This window comes from Homo sapiens, chromosome 4, assembly GCF_000001405.40.
Source record: "Homo sapiens chromosome 4, GRCh38.p14 Primary Assembly".
Classification (NCBI taxonomy): Eukaryota; Metazoa; Chordata; class Mammalia; order Primates; family Hominidae; genus Homo; species Homo sapiens.
Genome location: NC_000004.12, coordinates 117,426,904 through 117,448,533, shown reverse-complemented (window position 1 = coordinate 117,448,533; position 21,630 = coordinate 117,426,904). Strand labels below are relative to the sequence as shown.

The 21,630-nt window shown below is 36.1% G+C and overlaps 1 long non-coding RNA gene across 1 annotated transcript in view; it reads right to left on the bottom strand.

Moving 5' to 3' along the window:
• Positions 1-20,136, bottom strand: part of LINC01378 (long intergenic non-protein coding RNA 1378) — a 260,706-nt gene extending 240,570 nt beyond the window's left edge. The window contains exons 1-2 of the long non-coding RNA NR_125757.1: positions 20,051-20,136; positions 19,767-19,837 (exon numbers count right to left, since the gene is read on the bottom strand). This is a non-coding gene — a long non-coding RNA (long intergenic non-protein coding RNA 1378). The remainder of the gene's footprint in view (positions 1-19,766; positions 19,838-20,050) is intronic.
• Between the last annotated feature and the right edge of the window lie 1,494 nt (positions 20,137-21,630).

Sequence of the window (21,630 nt, the reverse complement as noted above, 5' to 3'; positions counted from 1 at the left end):
GGAAATAAACTCGGTGCAGTTGGGGGGAGCATGGTAGGAGTGAGACCAGTCTTTCTGGCTGCAGGCTGTGTGAGAGTTGGGTGAAGCCTGTGGCTGATGGCTTTCCCCCACTTCCCTGGTGACCTCTGTGATACAGCAGTCAGCCATAATCCCCTGGGAACAGAACTCCATTGGCCTGAGAACCACATCCCGATACACCACAGCAGCTGCAGCAAGCCCCACTCAAGGACAGTCTGAACTCAGACACCCTTAACCCTGCCCCCACCTGAAGGTCTTTCTCTATCCACCCTGGTAGTTGAATACCAAGTACATGATCTCTTGGGAGCTCTATGGTCCCACTCATTGCCTGACCCTAGAGCAAGCTTGTATCCTACTTATACTACTGCAGCTGATGCACTCTTGAAAGCGCCACCTGCTGGCTGGAGGCTAACTGACACAAAAGCATTACAAAAATAAAACCACGGAGCCTCACAGAGTCTACTTCACTCCCCTGCTACCTCTAACAGAGCAGGAGCTGGTATCCATGGCTGAGAGACCTGAAGATGGATCAAATCACAGAACTCTGCAGACACTGCCCAGCACCAGTGTAGAGCCTAGTAGCTCTGCTGGGTGGCTAGATCCAGAAGAGAAACAAAAATAACTTCAGCTTGGCTCTCAGGAAGCCACATCCCCAGAAGAATTGGGAGAGAACCAAATCAAGAGAGCACCTTTTGGGACAAAAGAATCTGAACAGCAGCCCTTGAGTATCATAGGTGACCTCTGACACAGTCTACTAAAATGAGAAGTAACAAGAAAAACAATTCTGGCAGTATGACAAAATAAGATTCTTTAACACCCTCAAAAGATCACACTAGCTCCCCAGCAATGGATCCAAACCAAGACAAAAATCTCTGAATTGCCAGAAAAAAGAATTCAGAAGGTTAACTACTAAACTAATTAAGGAGGCACCAGAGAAAGGTGAAGTCCAACTTAAATAGATTAAAAAAAGATACAGAATGTAAATGGAAAAATCTCTAGTGAAATAGATAGCATAAGTATGAAACAGTCACAGCTTCTGGAAATGAAGGGCATACTTAAAGAATTGCAAAATGCACTAGAAATTCTCAGCAATAGAATTAAAGAAATAGAGAAAGAACATCAGCGCTCAAAGACAGGGCTTTCAAATTAACCCAATCTGACAAAGACAAAGAAAAAAGAATTTGCCAGTCATGGTGGCTCACGCCTGTAATCCCAGCACTTTGGGAGGCCGAGGCGGGCGGATCACGAGGTCAGGAGATCGAGACCATCCTGGCTAACATGGTGAAACCTCGTCTCTACTAAAAGTACAAAAAATTAGCCGGGCATAGTGGTGGGCACCTGTAGTCCCAGCTACTCCGGAGGCTGAGGCAGGAGAATGGCATGAACCCGGGAGGCGGAGCTTGCAGTGAGCCAAGATTGCACCACTACACTCCAGCCTGGGTGACAGAGCCAGACTCCGTCTCAAAAAAAAAAAAAGAAAAAAAAGGATTTAAAAAATGAACAAAGCCTCCAAGAAGTGTGGGGTGCTAAACCACCAAATCTAAGAATAATTGGAATAATTGGTGTTCCTGAGAAAGAAGGGAAATCTAAAAATTTGGAAAGGATATTAGAGGGAATAATTAAGGAAAACTTCTCTGGCCTTGCTAGAGATCTAGATATCCAAATATAAGAAGTTCAAAGAACACATGGGAAATTCATTGCAAAAAGATCATTGCCTTGGCACATAGTCATCAGGTTACCTAAAGTCAAGACTAAGGAAAGAATTGTAAGAACTGTGAGGCAAAAGCATCAGGTAACCTATAAAGGAAAACCTATTAGACTAACAGCAGATTTCTCAGCAGAAATCATAAAAGATAGAAAGTATTAGGGTCCTATCATTAGCCTTCTTAAGCAAAACAATTAGCCTAGAATTTTGTATCTGGCAAAAATAACTTTCATAAATAAAGGAAAGATACAGTCTTTTTCAGACAAACAAATGCTGACAGAATTCACTGCTATCAAGCCAGCACTACAAGAACTGCTAAAAGGAGCTCTAAGTATTGGAACAAATCCTTGAGGAACACCAAAATTGAACTTCCTTGAAGCATAAGTCTCACAGGCCCTGTAAAACAATAACACAATGAAAAAAATAAAGAAGGTATTCAGGCAACAAACAGAATGATGAATAAAATAGTACCTCATATCTCAATACCAAAGTTGAATGTAGATGGCCTAAATGCTCCACTTAAAAGTTACAGAATGGCAGAATGGATGAGAATTCACCAACCAAGTATCTGCTGTCTTCAATGAACTCAACTGATGCATAAGGATTCACATAAACTTAAAGTAAAGGCGGGGGGTTGGGGGAAGATATTCCATGCAAATGGACTCCAAAAGCAAGCAGCAATAGCTATTCTTATATGAGACAAAACAAACTTTAAAGCAACAGCAGTTGAAAAAGACAAAGAGGGACATTATAAAATGACTTAAAAAACTAGTCCAGCAGGAAAATATTACAATTTTAAATATATATGCACCTAACACTGAAGCTCCCAAATTTATAAATCAATTACCACTAGACCTAAGAAATGAGAGAGACAACACCACAATAATAGTGAGAGACTTCAACATACCACTGACAGCAGCAGACAGATCACCAAAGTCAACAAAGAAACAATGGACTTAAACTACACCCTGGAACAAATAGACTTAACCGATATTTATAGAACATTTTACCCAACAACTGCAGGATACATATTTTATTCATCACCACATGGAACATTCTTTAAGATAGATGATATAATAGGTCACAAAACAAGTGTCAACAAATTTAAGAAAATTGAAATTATATCATGTACTCTCTCAGACCACAGTGGAATAAAATTGGAAGTCAACTCCAAAAGGAACCCTCGAGACCATGCAAATACATGGAAATTAAATAACCTGCTCCTGAATGATCATTGGGCCCATAATGAAATCAAGATAGAAATTTAAAAATTCTTTGAACAGAACAAGAGTAGTGACACAAGGTATCAAAACCACTGAGATACAACAAAAGAAGTGGTAAAGGGAAAGTTCATAGCATTAAACGGCTACATCAAAAAGTCTGAAAGAGCACAAATAGACAATCTAAGGTCACACCTCAAGGAACTAGAGAAACACGAACAAACCAAAACCAAAGCCAGCAGAAGAAAAAATAAATAAGCAAGATTAAAGCAGAAGCAAGTGAAATTGAAACAAACAAACAAAAGAAAGTACAAAATATCAATAAAACAAAAAGCTGGTACTTTGAAAAGATAAATAAAATTGATAGACAATTAACAAAATTAACCAAGAAAAGAAGAGAGATTATCTAAATAAACTCAATTGAAAATGAAAGGGGAAATATTATAATTGATATCATAGAAATGAAAAAGATAATTCAAGGATACTGTGAACACCTTTACATGCATAAATTAGAAAACCTAGAGGAGATGGATAAATTCCTGGAAATATACAAGCCTCCTAGATTAAATCAGGAAGAAATAGAAACTCTGAACAAATCAATAATAAGCAGCGACTTTGAAATACTTAAAAAGTTACCAATTAAAAATTCCAGGACCAGACAGATTCACAGCTGAATTCTATCAGAAATTCGAAGAATTGGTACCAATCATATTAACACCATTCCTCAAGATAGAGAAAGAGGGATTCCTCCCAAAATTATTCTATGAAGCAAGTTTCACCCTAATACTAAAAGCAGAAAAGAATATAACAAAAAAAGAAAACTACAGTCAAACATCACTGATGAACATAGATGCAAAAATACTCACCAAAATACTAGCTAACCAAATCATATAAAAAGATAATCCACCATGATAAAGTGGATTTCATATCATGGATACAGGGATGCTTTAACACCCACAAGTCAATAAATGTGATATACCACATAAGCAGAATTAAAATAAAAAATCGCATAGTCATCTCAATAGACACAGAAAAAACATTTGACAAAATCCAGCATTCCTTTATGTTTAAAACCCTTAGCAAAATTGGCATACAAGGGACATACCTTAAGGTAATAAAAGCCATCTATGACAAACCTATAGCCAATTTTATACTGAATGAGGAGAAGTTGAAAGCATTCCCCCTGAGAACTGGAGCAAGACAAGTATGCCCGCTATCACCACTTCTGTTCAACATAGTACCGGGAGTCCTAGCCAGAGCAATCAGACAAGAGAAACAAATAAAGGGCATCCAAATTGGCAAAGAAGAAGTCAAACTGTCACTGTTTGCTGATGACATGGTGGTATACCTAGAAAACCCTAAAGACTCCTCCAAAAAGACCCTGGAACTGGTAAATGAATTCAGCGAAGTTTCAGGATGCAAAATTAATGTACATGAATCAGTAGATCTGCTCGTACACCAACAGCAACCAAGCTGAGAATCAAATCAAAAACTTAACCCCTTTTACAATAGCTGCAAAAAAGAAAAGAATCAGGAATATATTTAACCAAGGAGGTGAAAGATCTCTACAAGAAAAACTACAAAACAAAAGCAACCACAGATGACACAAATAGAAACACATGCCATGCTCATGGATGGATAGAATCGATGTTGTGAAAAATGACCATACTGCCAAAAACAATCTACAAATTCAATGCCATTTCCATCAAAATAACACTATCATTCTTCACAGAACTAGAAAAAGAAATTCTAAAATTCACATGGAACCAGAAAAGAACCCAATTAGCCAAAGCAAGACTAGGCAAAAAGAACAAATCTGGAGGCATCACATTACCCGACTTCAAACTATTCTATAAGGCCAGAGTCGCCAAAAGAGCACGGTGCTGATATAAAAATAAGCAGATAGACCAATGGAACAGAACAGAGAACCCAGAAATAAAGCCAAATACTTATAGCTGACTGATCTTCAACAAAGCAAATGAAAACATAAAATGGAGAAAGGACAAAAGGACATCCTATTCAATAAATGGTGCTGGGGCAATTAGCAAGCCACATGTAGATGAATAAAACTGGCTCCTCATCTCTCACCTTATACAAAATCAACTCAAGATGGATCAAAGACTTAAATCTAAAACCTGAAACTCTAAAAATTCTAGAAGATAACATCAGGAAAGCCCTTGTAGACACTGGCATAAGTAAAGACTACATCACCAAGAACCCAAAAGCAAATGCAACAAAAGCAAAGATAAATAGATGGGACTGAATTAAACTAAAAAGCTCCTGCACAGCCAAAGAAATATCAGCAGAGTAAACAGAAAACCCACAGAGTAGGAGAAAATCTTCACAATCTATACATCTGACAAAGGAGGAATATCCAGAGTCTACAAGGAACTCAAACAAATCAACAACAACAACAAAAAACACATAATCCCATCAAAAATTGGGCTAATGACGTGAATTGACAATTCTAAAAGAACATATGCAAATGGCCAAGAAACATATGAAAAAATGCTCAACATCACTAATTTTCAGGAAAATGCAAATCAAAACCACATGATACCACCTTACTCCTGCAAGAATGGCCATAATCAAAAAATAAAAACAAAATAGATGTTGGTGTGGATATCATGAAAAGGAAACACTTTTGCACTGTTGGTGCGAATGTAAACTAATACAACTGCCATAGAAAACAGTGTGGAAATTTCTTAAATAACAAAAATTACATCTACCATTTGATCCAGCAATCCCACTCCTGGCTATGTACCCAGAGGAAAAGAAGTCATGCGAAAAACATACTTGCACATGCATGTTTATAGCAGCACAATTTGCAATTGCAAAATTATGGAGTAAGCCCAAATGCCCGTCAATAAATGAGTGGATAAAGAAAATGTGGGGGGTGTGTGTGTGTTTGTGTGTGTATAAAATGCGTGTGTGTATATACATATATACACATTATATATATGTGTGTGTGTGTGGGTGTATGTGTGTATATATATATGTATACACACACACTATGGAATACTATTCAGCCATACAAAGGAATGAAATAATGGCATTTGCAGCAAACTGGATTGAATTGGAGATGATTATTCTAAGTGAAGTAACTCAGGAATCAAAAGCCAAACATGGTATGTTCTCACTCACAAGTGAGAGCTTAGCTACAAGGATGCATAAGAATGATATAATGGACTTTGGGAACCTCGGGGGAAAGGGTGGTAGGGGTTCGGGTTTGAGGGATAAAAGACTACACATTGGGTACAATGTACACTACTTGACTGATGGGTGCTCCTAAATCTCAGAAATCACCACTAAATAACTTATTCATGTGCAAAAAATATAGATTAAAATGATTTAAGAAAGAGGAAAAAAACACTCTACAGTCATGTGCCAAATAACCACATTTCAGTCAATAATAAACAGCATTTATGATGATGGACCCATAAAATTATGATACCTTAGTTTTACTGTACCCTTTCTATGTTTAAATACACAAATACTTAGCATTGGGTTGCAACTGCCTACAATATTCAGTACAGTAACATGCTGTACAGGTTTGTAGCCTAGAAGCAATAGACTATACTCTATAGCCTAGGTGTGTGGTAGGCTATGCTATCTAGATTTTTGTAAATATGATGTTCACAAAACAACAAAATTGCCTAATGCTGCATTTCTCAGTATGTATACTGCAGAAAGGTTAGTATTAACATTTACAATTTCCACTTATATAGTATATACCTTCTGTCCTCTCAAAAGTTTTACTGAAATAACTCTCCTACTCCACACATAAGAATACTCATTTTCTCCTATCTTTCAAAACATTGGTTTTTGTTAGTCTTCACTAATATGGAAGTATTCTTCAGCCAAACAAAACAAAACCACCTGTTATTTGCATTTTCTTTATTACTGGAGAAGCTGTACATGTTTTGCTACATTTATATTCCTTCTTGGAACGGTTTGAGTCTTCTGCTAATTTTCTACTGAATAGTCTTATTTTCTTAGGAATTTAGTAGTATAATTCTAGTTAAAAGTAAAGAATATTTTCATTTTCCTTTTTTTTTTAACGAGTAACCTATTGTTTTTAGGTGTTTATGGAAATTCCAGATATTACAATTCATTAAATATGTCTGGAAATCAGAGGAGAGGCCAGCATGGGAGTTCAAAGGAAGTAAATGAAGTCATCTAGAGGCAGAAGATAGAGGAGAAAAATGGCTGAGGATGAATTTTTAAGGTAAGCATGTTAAGGTATGAGCAGACAGAGATAATTGGTAAGAAAAACAGATGAGGATAGCATAGGAGAGAAAAATGATGAAAAAACAATAGTATTCACCAAAGATTTTAGAAAGTGGAGATAAACCTTGAAAATTTTCAACTGGGCTCTGAATTTGGAAGTTAATTTTTATTGTTGGCAAAGAGGTGGAAATGGGGGAAGGAAATATGGAGAGATGTACTAAAGTTGAGAAGCAGAAACTGCTAAATAAATTGTTAAATAAAAAGTGTTGAGGTTTGAAAAACCATGATTTTTTTTTATTCCACTCAGAATTTCTTAATATGGGGGGCATAATATTTGATGAGGCCAATTGTAGCAATAATCCAAGTTGAAGCGACTCCTAGAAGGACAAAAACAAAGACTGGTTGATGGTTCTGGTGATGGTATACCAAAAGACCAGCCATGAATCCAGAAACTAGAAGAATGGCAGGCCAGGGAGGAGTTGCTAATGCGGAATAACTAGTTGGTCCAATGATACGGGTATCATTGGGGTATAGAATAAAAGGTGTTTTATCATCTAAAAGACGGATGTGAGCGATGTTCATGACTGACAAGAGGTAATGGGGAAGGAGCAGGCACCACTGAAGATGGCTGCAAGAAAAATACTGTCTTTTGGGAACAAGGAGATGTATAAAACCAACTGTGTAGAAGTTGAGGATGAAGGAGAGTTTATTTATGATGGAATGGGGATCCAGTAACCATAATGGTATGGATTGTAAGAAACGTCAGTAGGGGAATGACAAATTCATGGGCTGAATGTGCAAAGTAGTATAGAAAGAAGACAGTATGACAATGGTTATAGTCATAATTACATTTCATCTCCTAATTTCTAGTTCTGAACTACCCACAGTTACTCAATATACTCAAGGGCTGTCTCTATGACCTCTAATTAATACGGAGGCTTGGGGTATTTTATTCCATTTAAGAGTTTCCATATTCATTTCGTTATCCTATCGTTATTCCTTAAATTTCTATACACTTGAAGTGCATGTATATATTTGTATGTGTGCTTATGTCAACCTTCCTCAGCCATTCTACAGGACTATACAGATAATTTAGTACTCCTTTGTGAATTAGGCACTCAAAGTTAACAGCAAAATTTAGGGAGACAATGTCAAAAAGAGCTTTTCTCTGTCAACTTTTTTTTTTCTGTAGTTGACTAAAGAATTGTTTTCTTATATACCTACATATGTGCATAAAGAAACACATGAAAGGAAGAGAACATATTTTAATTATGAACTTTGGAGCTCTATTTAATGGTGTAATTTAAGAAAAATAAAGCTAATTATAATTCAAGATTATCTCCTGAACATCTTGGTACTTTCTAACTTGTGATGCCAAGTTGGTGATCCTCTTACACATCTTTTAACCAGACTTGTCTTCTTTTGGCTAAAATCTAGTGTTTTCAGAGAAGGCCAACTCTTCAAACCAAAATGGATTTAATCAGGAAAAATTGCAAGTAAAAACGTTACAAACCTTTTAAAAGTAAACTGAAAAATATTTTGATTTATAGACTTGTATTATTTTAAACTAACATTTCCTTCCACTGACAAATATAAGTGATATTTGGCAGAGTTTCAGAGGACCACCAAAGCTTAAATTAAACATGTGGAGAATATTGTCTCTACTCATGCATGTGATTCCTAAACACTGTTCAATAATTAATCTGAACTGCTTCCAAAAATAAAAAAAAAGCAATGTATAAAACAAAACAAAATCCTACTCTTCTACAGTTCTACTTCAGTGAGTTCTAGGAAGAAAAATCAAGCCCAAAGTTTAGTTGTTCACATACAGGTATCATTTATCCAAGTGTATATTATCTATGCAATTGGCTACAGAAGCCTGAGCACAAAAGCACAGGTGTTATTAGGTTGAAACAACTCTCTGTGTACCCTTTTCCAGGAATTCCGTGTACCTCCTAGGCATGAGTGTGAGCTAACTAGGAAATTAGATCAGTTCTACTCTAAACAAAAATAAGAGCTCCTGAAACTATGCACAAGTTTATTTGAGTAAAAGGAAGTCAAATCATTCTGTTAAGTTCTTTTACATCTTGTGTTAGGCAAAGAAAATAGTAAAGCTACAGATATAAAATAAGAAAGACTTTAAGATCCCAAGAGAGATACATTTTAGCAGTGCTTGCTTTTATTTTTGTGTATCCTAAGACAGATATATTTTAGTGGTTCTTACTTTTATTTTGTTTATCCTAAGAGAGATACGTTTGTAGATCCTAAGGGAGAGATATTTTGTCAGTTTTTACTTGTTACTTTTTCTAACTATACTGTTTTCTTAATATTTATATTAGATAAATTTATTTTGGATATAAAGAGGTCTGTTTGCTCACAATGTGGAAAAATAATAGAAAATAAAGAAAAGAAGGGTAAGAAAAAGGAAAAAGCATTAATACTTTGTGGATTAGATAATGTGTTATGCACTTTGGTAAATATTTTAATCACAATTTTCTGAAATTTTTACTGATTCCACTATAATTTTCAATAGGAAAATGTTCTCATTGAATTTATTTTAGATGCCAACTATCTGAAACAGTGTAATGATCTTTAAAATTTCCTTTTTGGAGGCTGTAGGGAATAGCATCAATGTTTCCAGAATGCTAAATATTTTTTTTTTTAATTTTGAAAAAAGTAGTAGGAAGTTTTGGAAGAGGAATATAAATACCACACAATATAATCTTCCTATCAGTTCTTGATTTCCTTCTATATTCTAGATTGTTGTCCATTAGCTATATGTTTTCTATGCCTGACATGAAAAACTACCACAAAGTTGGTAGCTTAAAACAACATAACTTCATTCTCCAATAGTTCTGATGGCCAGATATCCAAAATCCAGGTGTTGGGAGAGCTGTACTCCCTATAGAGGCTCTAGAGGTAAATTGTTTCTATACCTTTTCTGGCTTTTGGTGGTTAGTGACTTCCTTCACTTTTGGCCACATCACTCCAATTTCTGCTTCTGTCTTCACATCACCTAACCTGTTTCTGTCTCCTCCTCCGTATGTCTCTTATAAGGACTTCTGTTGCTCTTCTAGGCAATCCAGGATGATTTCCTCATCTCAAGATCCTTCAGCTAATTATAATGACAAAGACTCTTTTTCTAAATAAGGTAATATTCATGGGTTCTTGGATTAAGGCGTGAACATATCTTTTGGAGGGCTACCAGTCAGCCCACTACATCTACCATCTGTAATATCAATCTGTGAAAAGAACTTAGTACTTTCTAAAATGACTTGCTTAAGGTGTGATGCCAAACTCTATTTCACTGAGCCAAAATCTGATTCCACATATTTTCCCCATAATTCCAGTTCTGCCATTTGGGGTCCATCTTATGTCCATTTTCTGTTGCTATCACAGATTGGGTAATTTATAAAAAATAGAGGTGTATTTATTTCATTGTTCTAGTGACTGGGAAGTCCGAGAGTGTGGCACTGGTATCAGGTGAGGGCCTTTCTACTATGTCATAACATGGCAGAAAGCATTCACATGGTGAGAGGGCAAGAGTATATACATGTCAGTCAGGTCTCTCTTCCTGTTTTATACAGCCACTAGTTCCAGGAAGCCCCACACTGATGACCGTATCTAATCCTAATTACCTCCCAAAGATCCCACCTCCAATCAACATGTGATTTGGAGATTAAATTTCTAGCTTAAAAAATTTGAAATTTGGGAGAGACATTCAATTCATAGCAGAGCCCCATTAAATAAATATACTATCTTCCCACAGTATAGTCTTCTAAATATTTGAAAATTGGTATTTTTTCTTGAAAAATTATTTTCATTAATTTTTCAATACTCCTGAATTCCATTTTCTGTATCTTCATTTCTGGGTTTTTTTTTTATTATTTTACTCCTAATGAGTCACTCTGCCTCCTTCAAGATTAACTTGAGGCTTACTAATAGGTAGAATGAGTGTCTTGCCATCATATTAATCACAAAATGCCAGTGTATAATATAATAATACATTGCCTCTTGCAGTGCACTATTCCATTTCTATATTAATAGAAACATCAGGGATAGATTATATGCAGTTTCCCGTAGGCAGATGAAATTGAAAGGGTTTTTCTTTAACTTACTGCTATTTCTTCTATTTGTATTAAATTTCTTGAGTAATTTATGGCAGGTGTCATTCCTACTCTCTCAAGAGTTAGTAAAACCCAACAGAACTATTCATTTTATTCTCTAAAAATTGCATTGAGTGATCCCAGAGGCAGTGTGGAGTTACAGATAAAGTATCATTAGACAAAATCTATTGGCTGACAAAACACTGCAGAAGAAAGAACATACAAGCATACATAGGAAAATTGGTTTCTAATGGAGTGACAAATGATGAAGTGTGTTTATATAAATTTAAAGGAGATAATTTATTGGTAATTAATAAAACTATTTGTTGAAATATGTGATTATGTTAATGTTTATATTATTCCATTTGAAATTGTCCTTCTTTTAGTCATTTAATTTCAATCTATACTAAGTGTAAATCATAATTTAGGTTTCACAAATATCAAATGTGTCAAATTATTCTTACCATAAATATATTAAAGATAATTTTAGATTTCATTCAGATTATCTGCATTATTCTATTCTGTTCTCACACAGCTAATAAAAACATACCTAAGACTGGATAATTTATAAAGGAAAGAGATTTAATTGACTCACAGTTCCACATGGCTGGGGAGGCCTCACAATCATGGTGGGAGAGCAGAGGACATCTTACATGATGGCAGGAAAGAGAGAACTTGTGCTGGAGAACTCCCCTTTACAAAACCATCTCGTGAGACTTATTCACTATCATGAAAACAGCATGGAAAAGACCCACCCCATGATTTGATTACCTCCCACTGGGTCCCTCCCACGACACATGGGAATTTGAGAGCTACATTTCAAGATGAGATTTGGGTGGGAACACGGCCAAACTGTATCATTATCTTAGAGCTGAATCATTAACTTATTACCAATAATCTAGTTTCCCACATATTTTGTTTTTTTATGTTAAAATATAGGCAACGAATTATCTCAAATATATTAAAATGTCCCTTCTCTTAGTTTCAATAGAATTGTGATGTATACGATACAATGAAAATAACCACATATACGCAACATCATCAGTTTTATTTCCCAAGCTTCTTCTTCCTTCAACACACATTTTCTGTTAATATCAAGGCTTTGTCCATTTGAGGCAATTAATGGATTTTTAAATGAAACGAATGGATGACACTGATATTGGTTACTAAGAAATTTGGTTTGATAGACTGTACTATTAATGGAGATGTTAAATATTGAAATAAACATCGAAAAGAGGATAATGAGTCAAAGACATTATAATTTTGTTATTCATATAAATAAGTTCCAAAACAGTATTTCTGAGGAGCAGGCAGCTTTCCTACAAGAAGATCCTATACTACACCCTTTCTATCCCTGCCTTCCCAGGTTTTTGCAGTCTTCTGCATTGAATCAAGGGGGGAAAGGCATGAAGAGTCAGAGAGTGGAGGCTCTTATGGGATAGTACTAGAAGTAGGACTTGACACTTTTACTCATTTCTCTTTGACTAGCATTCAGTCACACATTCACACCAATGGCCAGGGAGCCTGAGACACAAAATAAACTGGGTTTAGAGAAGAGCTACCAAGTCTGTCATACTGGGGAAGATGCTTTATGGGAAAATCATTTTTTAATAGTTTATTGGTTTTCAGGAAGTAATATAATTCAGATAATAAAAGTTTATTACTCAGAAATCAGGTCTAGTTAGATGATTTGTGGGACAAGGTACAAAATGAAAATGCAAGGCCCCTTGTTCAAAACAGAGAAACAGTGCCACTTAATGTAATAAAATATAAAGGCTTTTACTTCAAAAATTCTTGTAATACTTTCAAACATAAGAGTGAATAACAGTGATACATAGTTTTAGTAACATATACTGTATCAAAAGAACCATCTTGCTTGGAAAAAAATTACTAGACAAATATATAAAATGGCTTTTACAAGCCATTTAAACAGCAACCCAAACAGGCAAGTTTTTAGGAACCATAATCCTGAAATTAGCTCGAATTCACCTCAGATTTTTCCTAGAATACATTATAAAAATTGTATTTAAGGAAGATTGTACCGTATCAGAAAACTGAAGCATCAGAAGCGATAGAGAACAAAAGGAACAGTTCAGGGCTGCCCAGTTCAGAAGCTAGGACAAGAGAGGCAAAAATCCAGAGATAAAGAATTTTCAGGTCATGAAAATGACACATATTCCAAGAAACAAATCAGAAGACAAATCAGCCTCCCAAAACTGGGAGGCTGAATTGTTGAGCAGAGATTTTAGCAGCTATGTTATCCCAAATGGAGAATGAGTGAATTTCAAGCTTTACCATGGAGGAAAGACTTTAGGAAATACCTCAAGACTTCAGTTGAGACAATGGAAGGACTATGCCTTATGAATGAAGGTCACTCCACAGGAGTAAAGGTTGTGTTCTACTGTGGTATATTACACAGTATCATATTTACACCATGTGTGATCAACTCTATGGAGAAAGTCACATGGCCTCCAGGCAACAGCCAATGAGGAACTGAATCCCTCATCCAAAAGCCCAAAAGGACCTGAATTCTGCTACAATCACATGAATAAGCATGGAAGTGGATCCTTCCCCAGGTAATCCTTGGGAAGTCAAAGGACTGCTGCCCTGCTGACACATGGAATTCAGCATGTGACACTTTGAAGCAGAAAGTCCAGCTTAATCATTCCCAGATTTCTGGCCTATATAGACTGTGAGATAATAAATGTGTTGTTAAAACCAGTAAGTTTGGGAGTAATTTGGTACTTGCAATAGATACCTAAAGTGGCTATAATATGCATGAGAAACAGAAACAGATTATCCTTAACCAAGCCTCAAACCCGGTAGTCCAAGAATGAAACTGATCTGCTGGCACTTGATCTGCTAAAAATAACAGAGGCTAGAGACTCCATAATTTTTAATATGCAGCCTGGCATCTGTTCAAAATTTTTGAGACATTACAAAAACAGGCAAAAATGAGTGAAAAAGAAGGTGAAAAAAAGCAGAGCTGATAAACGAGACCAAGTGTTGATTCAGAATTCAGAGAGATTAAACAATGACTTTTAAATAATCAATATGGGTCATGTAAAGTATGCAGTTTGTCTGCAAAGCATGTAATAAAATTTAAAGTACAACTTTAAGTTCTAAATGCACAATTTAGAAAGGAAGAAAAGTTGCAAAACATTGATTTAAGCTTTCAGTTCAAGAAGCTTGTTGGATAAAAAGCAAATTAATCTCAAAGGAATAGTAAAGATAAGAGAAAAAGCAATGAAATAGGGAATATAAATTAGATCCAGAAATTCATTCTTTGAAAATTTTGATTAAAATTATAACTTGTTAATGTCTTATCAGAAAAAATAGAGATAATGTAAGTTATCAATATCAGAATAAATAACAAAACATCAACCTAAATCTCACAGATAAAAAGACATTATGATGAATTTATAGTAATAAAGTTAAAATTTTCACAATAATGGATGAGTTCTCAAAATATATAACTCACCACAATTAGCGTTAGAATAAATAGATAATCTGAATGGTCTCACTAAAGAAATTGAATCTAAAATTAAATACCTACACACAAACACTTATCTTTACACACTTTTGAACTCAGATGATTCAAAGGGAAGTCTTCCAAATGTCTAAGAAAGGAATTATACCAATTTTACACAAATTCTTCCAAAGATTAAGACTGGAAGAACTTCCACATCATTTTCTTATTCTATAATAACCTTGATACAAAAACTAGAAAAGAAAAAATAAATTACAAGACAATATCTCTCATAAATATATACATAAGCCTATAAAAATATTCCCAAATCAAAGTTATATATAACAACCAACATTAATAGACAATTATATAGTAAGTTTTATTTCATGAATGTAAGGTTAGTTTACTGTTGAAAAATCAATAAAGTCATCATGTTAACAGATTAAAAAACAAAACCCATATGATAATTTTAAGGCATAAACAAAGCCTTAAATACAATATGAATAAAATTCAATACCTGTCCATGATCAAAATTCTTAGCAAACTCTATAAATATAAAAAGAAATTATCTGATAAACTATACAAAGCCCACACAAAACCTACAGCTAACATTATATTTAATGGTGAAATAGTTAATAGTTTCCCTTTAAGGATGGGAACAAGACACAGATATACACCACCATTGCTGCTAATGAACTCCAAATGTTCTTGCCACTAAAATAGGGTATGAGAAATAGAATAAAACATATAAATATTGAAGAAGGAAAAGGAAAATATTTAGGAAATTGAATAGTATTATAAGCAATCTATTAGAATTAATGAATAAATTGAAAAAGATCATGGGGCACAGGTTACCAAATGGATTTCTATACTAGTGACAATTAGAAATTGGAAAACAAAATAAAAATCTTATTTACAATACTATGAGAATAATACATTCCTTAGGGATAACTAACAAAAGATGTACTGGATATCTATAAATTTAAAGTATTATTGAGACACTGAATGAGACAAATAAATGAAAGTGTATAAAGTATTTATTGATTGGAAAATTAAAAACTTTTAGGATACTAATCTTCCAAATGCTTCTATAGATTTAATACAATTACTATCAAGATCCTTCTTTATGAAAATTTAAAAGTTGATTCTAATATGTATATAAAAATGAAAATGACCCAGGATAGACAAGTTAATCTTGAGGAAGAAGAAGAAAAGCTTTAGGGTATACCTTGATATGAAGGGCTTAGCAATTAAGACAGTGTGGTATTGATTCAAGGACAAATTGATGTATGGAACAGAATCCAGAGTCAGACCAGACATACACAGTGACCTGATTAATGAACAAGCTTCACTGCTGTTTAACAGGCAAAAAGATAATCTTCACAATAAATTGTGCTGGGTATATGGCACATCTACTGGGAAAAAAAATGAATTTTGACTCATTTACTGGAAACAGGTTTAAGGGGCCCCAATTTAATCATAATGACACAAAATAGGACAAATTAAAGAGAAAAAGTATTCTTTTTTTAGAATACATTTTTCCAGTCTTAGAAGGACTAGATAAAATGTTTGCTAATAACAAAGAACTAGAAAGTAGAGGCAGTCAAACTAAAGGCCTGAGGCATTCGCATTTACTCAGAGATTCTACAACCAAGAGGTACATCTTAGTTACCTGAAAAGTGTTTTAAAAATACATATTCTTTTCTTTGGGGACTATATCTTTTATTTAATTTTAACTTTCATTTTAGATGTGGGGTATACATGTGCAGATTTTTTACCTGAGAATATTGGATGATGCTGAGGTTTGGAGTATGGATCCTGGCACCTTGGTAGTGAGCATAGTACCTGATAGGTAGTTTCTTAACTCATCCCTCGCTCCAATCCCTCCACCCTCAAGTAGTCCGCATTGTCTGTTGTCCCCATATTTATATGATATGCACATCCCATGTGTGCTCAATGCTTAGCTCCCACAAGGCTGGAACTGAAGGCCAGAATCCTGAACAAATTAATGCAGGAACAGAAAACCAAAAGTACATATTCTTAATTCCTAAATAGGAAGGCCCCAACTCAGTAGCCGTAGTACAAGAAGTTGGGCATCTGAGTTCTTAAATGTTCTAAAAGTGCTCTAGTATACAGCAAGAGTGTCCTTCTTTGGCATAAAGTTTTAGATAAAAATCATAGTACGAGGCAAGGAATGCCTAGTCATTCTATGAGATTTCCTTGGGCCATATTCTACACTCCTAACTGGGGGAGTCAAGAAGGAATCAAAAACTGGATTCAAAAACCTACTTCCTCAAGAAAGTACTGCATACACTGACATGACTGAAAGTATACATTTTCTGAAAAATAATATATCCCAATGTGTCAAAAGTCATAACCTATGACTCAAAAATTTATTAAATTATAGTACTTAAGCATGGCTAACATTATATATATATATATATATATATGTATATTCCATGTACTCATGGCCTTTTTGATAGTCCATAGTACAGTCTCTGCTATATCTTAAGTGCTGAATCCATGTGAGTTATTATAATATGTACTTTATTGAAGCAAAATGTTTCTAGATATAAATAGTAGGAGAAACAGACTATTAGACATATTACCAAAATATTATCAGTGTGTTCTTGAGCAATATGATTCCTGAATTCATACTTTGTTTTATAGCTTTATGTTTATTTTTATTTATCCAGTTTTCTAATAAAACACTTATATGACTTCTAGAAACAGAAGAAACTGCTAAAAGAAAATTAGAAAATTACAAGTTTCATGAAAAATCTTATTTGGTAAAAATATTAAAATACCATACACACAAGAAGAAAAAGAACTATGTAAGTTGTTCCTCTGTGAAAAAACAAAAATGACTTTTGAGTTCTTCACTTTCCATTTTTCAGAAACACCGGACTTTCACAGCAAAAATAACTTTTGACTGGCTTATTTATAACATGGTAGTCATAGCTGTGTAACATATTTTCTAGGCCATTCTTATAAATCACCTCAAACTTATTGGGGTAGGCTGAATAATGACCCCCAAAGAATAATGTATACCCCAAAGAAGTCCACATTCTAATCCCTGGAACCTTTGAATATGTTACCTTACATGAAAAAAATAAGGGCCTGGTCATCTAATGTATGCAGCACATCTATTATTTAAAATCATGAATATATGTAACCAAATAGCTCTAAATACAGTTTAGTTTCATCCTTTTAATCTACTATTATTGGAAGATGAAACTGGCATAAAGGATAAGTTCACCTTAAGATAAACTATTGTAAGTTGCTGTTTTCTCCCTGGCAGGCTGTCGCTATTGCATTTCTGACAAACAGTGGGTATCATATGTTTAATGAATTTTCTTATGGCAATCTAACACCTTTTCATTCACTGCTTTCATTAGGGACTGGCAGTTGATCATAGCTTTGGTATAGCAAAAGAATCATATCCAGTAAGATGGCCAACTAAATGCAGACAGGTGGAACAGCTCCTACCTGAAGACTGAGACGACTGGCATGCTCCTAACATGCTCCTAACAGATCTTCTCCAGAGTGAACAGAGGGAGTACATGGAAGCTGGGCAGAAGGAGGAGAACGTTGGGAGCCCTACATGGAGATAAACTGCACCCGGACTCATTCCTGACCACCAATGGCTCTGGAGGAATGGGTGAGTTGAAATGGCAAACAGCAATCTGCCCTCACCACAGGCCTCTGGACCACCAGCAGGAGACCCCTCAACCATCACAGGCATTCGAATTGGCAGGGAGAGCTGTTTAGAGAAGTGGTAGGGGCAGTAAGCCAGCTGATGTGGATCCCAGAGGGTTTGGTGCAGGAGCATCTGTAGCAGAGTAAGGCCAGAGATGGCCATCCTGCTAGGCTTGACTTGCTCCCATAGGAAACATTAGCCCTAGAGGAACTGCTGGATCTGAACACTACAGGGTGGTCTTGTCCAACAGATAGGGCCAGTCTGATCTGAGCGCTCCCTGGTGTGCTGGCCTCTCCCACAGCCCCACCATGACCATGCCTGCTTGCAGGTCAGCCCCGAGTGGTCTGGGGGCCTGTGTCATAGTTTCTGCACTGGTAGACTGTGCGGAACTGGCAGAGAGCTCCAGTGGGGCAGCACCTACTTCGAGGCCCCAGCCCACATGCTCCCTCCCTATACTGCAGCTTCCCGCCTGGGCTCAGGGCAACTCCCCAGATTGCTCTGTTGGTGTATGTCTGTGCAGGCAGGTTTTGCTTTCCTAGCACTGACAGCACATTGGAGTCCAGTCTGCCTCCCCTTCCCTTCCAGAATGCCACTGCAGACAGAGCCTTGGAGGGCACAGAGCCAGCAAGCCCCATACCTACAAGCACCCCACCCTTGTACTAACACTATGCAGAGAACAGTGGATCCTCCTCTGCCCTGAGCCATCACTCCTGCTTGAAGGGAACAAAGAAGTTACCCAGACCTGCGCCTGCCATTGCCTGGTCCCTGAGCCAACACTACCTTCAGCACAACTGTTCACACAGTCTCCAGCAGGGGTCCCCAGCCAGCCCCACCTTCCCCACCAACCAAGCTGCAAGGGAGGCAGGCACTGCAGAACCCACTAGCACTCTGCCACAGCTGCCACTACTGCTATTGCTGGAATGTGAGGATGGATCCTGCTGTCACTGCACTGTGAAAGGCTTTGGCTGACACCATCCATTGGAGTGTAGTAACTGGGGGTCTGGGAGCACCTCAGATTCCCCGAGCTCAGTAGATTCCTAACCTTGAGAAGCCAGAGAGCAAAGTTGGAGCCCAATATATGTCCCCCAGTTAGAACACACAGTTCAGGATTTGGGAGCACAGTGTTGGTCCCCTAAAATCTTCCGGAAATGAAGCCAGTCAACTGAATCCATGTTATACCACAATCAAACCCTCAAGGGAATCAAATAAGATAAAAGCAAACAAACAAAAAAAATCAAAAGGTCAGCAATGTCAAAGACTGAAGGAAGACAAGCCCACAAAGACGAGAAAGAATCAGCACAAAATCCCTGACACTCACAAAGTCAGAGGGCCTTTTTTCCTGCAAACAGCTGAATCATCTCTCCAACAGGAGTTCTGAACTGGGCTGAGCTGCTGAAATAACAGAAATAGAATTCAGACTAAGGATAAGAAAAAAGATAATTGAGCTAAAGATGTATATTAAGACTCATTCCAAGGAAGCTAAAAATCACATTAAAACAATGCAGGAACAGACAGACAAAACAGGCAGTGTAGAAAAAAAATGGAACCAATCAACCTGATAAAGCTGAAAAATGCACTATAAGAATTTCATAAGGTACTCACAAGTATTAGTAGCAGAATAGACCAAGTGGAGGAAAGAATCTCAGAGCTTGATGGCTGCCTTTCTGAAATAAGACAGTCAGACAAGAACAGAGAAAAAAGAAGGAAAATAAATGAACAAAACCTCAGAGAAATAGGGGATTATGTAAAGAGACCAAATGTATGACTCATTGCTCTCTCTGAAAGAGATGGGGAGAATGGAAACAACTTGAAAAACATATTTCAGGATATCATCCATAAGAACCCCCTCAACATAGCTAGAAAGGCCACCAATCAAATTCAGAATATATTCCCAACACAGAAGCACACAAATTCATAAAGCAAGTTCTTAGAGACCTTCAAAGAGACTTAGACTCCCACATAATATTGGCAGGAGACTTCAACACTCCACTGACAGCATTAGATAAACCATCGAAGCAGAAAATTAACAAAAACATTCAAGACCTAAACTCAGCATTGGTTCAAATAGATCTGATAGACATCTACAGAACTCTGCACCAGAAAACAATAGAATATACATTCTTCTCATCACCATATGGCACATACTATATAATCGATCACATAATCACAAGTAAAACACTCCTCAGCAAATGCAAAAGAACTTAAATCATAGCAAGCACTATCTCAGACCACAGCACAGGAAAGTTAAAAACCAAGACTACGTATTTCACTCAAAAGCATTCAATTACATGGAAATTGAATAACCTGCTCCTGAATGACTTATGGGTAAATCATGAAATTAAGCGAGAAATCAAGAAGCTCTTTGAAAGTAATGAGAACAAAGGTGCAACATGCTAGAATCTCTGGGACACGGCTAACACAGGGTTAAGTGGGAATTTTATAGCACTAAATGCTCACATCAAAAAGTTAGAAAGATCTCAACTTGACAACCTAATGTCACAACTAAAAGAACTAGAGAAAGTAGAATAAATCAACCCCAAGCTAGCAGAAGACAAGAAATAAGCAAAATCAGAGCTGAACTGAAGGATATTGAGATACAAAAAAACCCAAACCACTCTAAAGATCAACAAATTAAACAGCCTGTTTTCTGAAAATATTAATAAAATAAATAGACCATTAAATAGACTAATAAAAAATAAGGGAACAGATTCAAATAAACACATTCAGAAACAACAAGGGGCATATCACCACTGACCCTGCAGAAATACAAATAACCATCACATAATATTATGAACCCCTTTATGCACATCAAGTAGAAAATCTGGAAGAAATGGATAAATTCCTGGACATGGACATTCTCCCAAGACTGAACCAGGAAAAATTGAGTGCCTAAATAGAACAATAATCAGCTCTGAAATTGAATCAGTAATAAATAGCCTACCAACCAAAAAAAATCCCAGGACAAAATAGATTTACAGCTGAATTGTACCAGATGTACAAAGTAGAGCTGGTATCATTTCTCCTGAAACTACACCAAAAAATTCTGGAAGAGAGGCTCCTCCCTAACTCATTCTATCATGATACCAAAACGTGACAGAAACACAACAAAAAAGAAAAATTTCAGGCCAATATCCTTCATGAACATTTATGCAAACATCCTCAAAATACTGGCAAGCCAAATC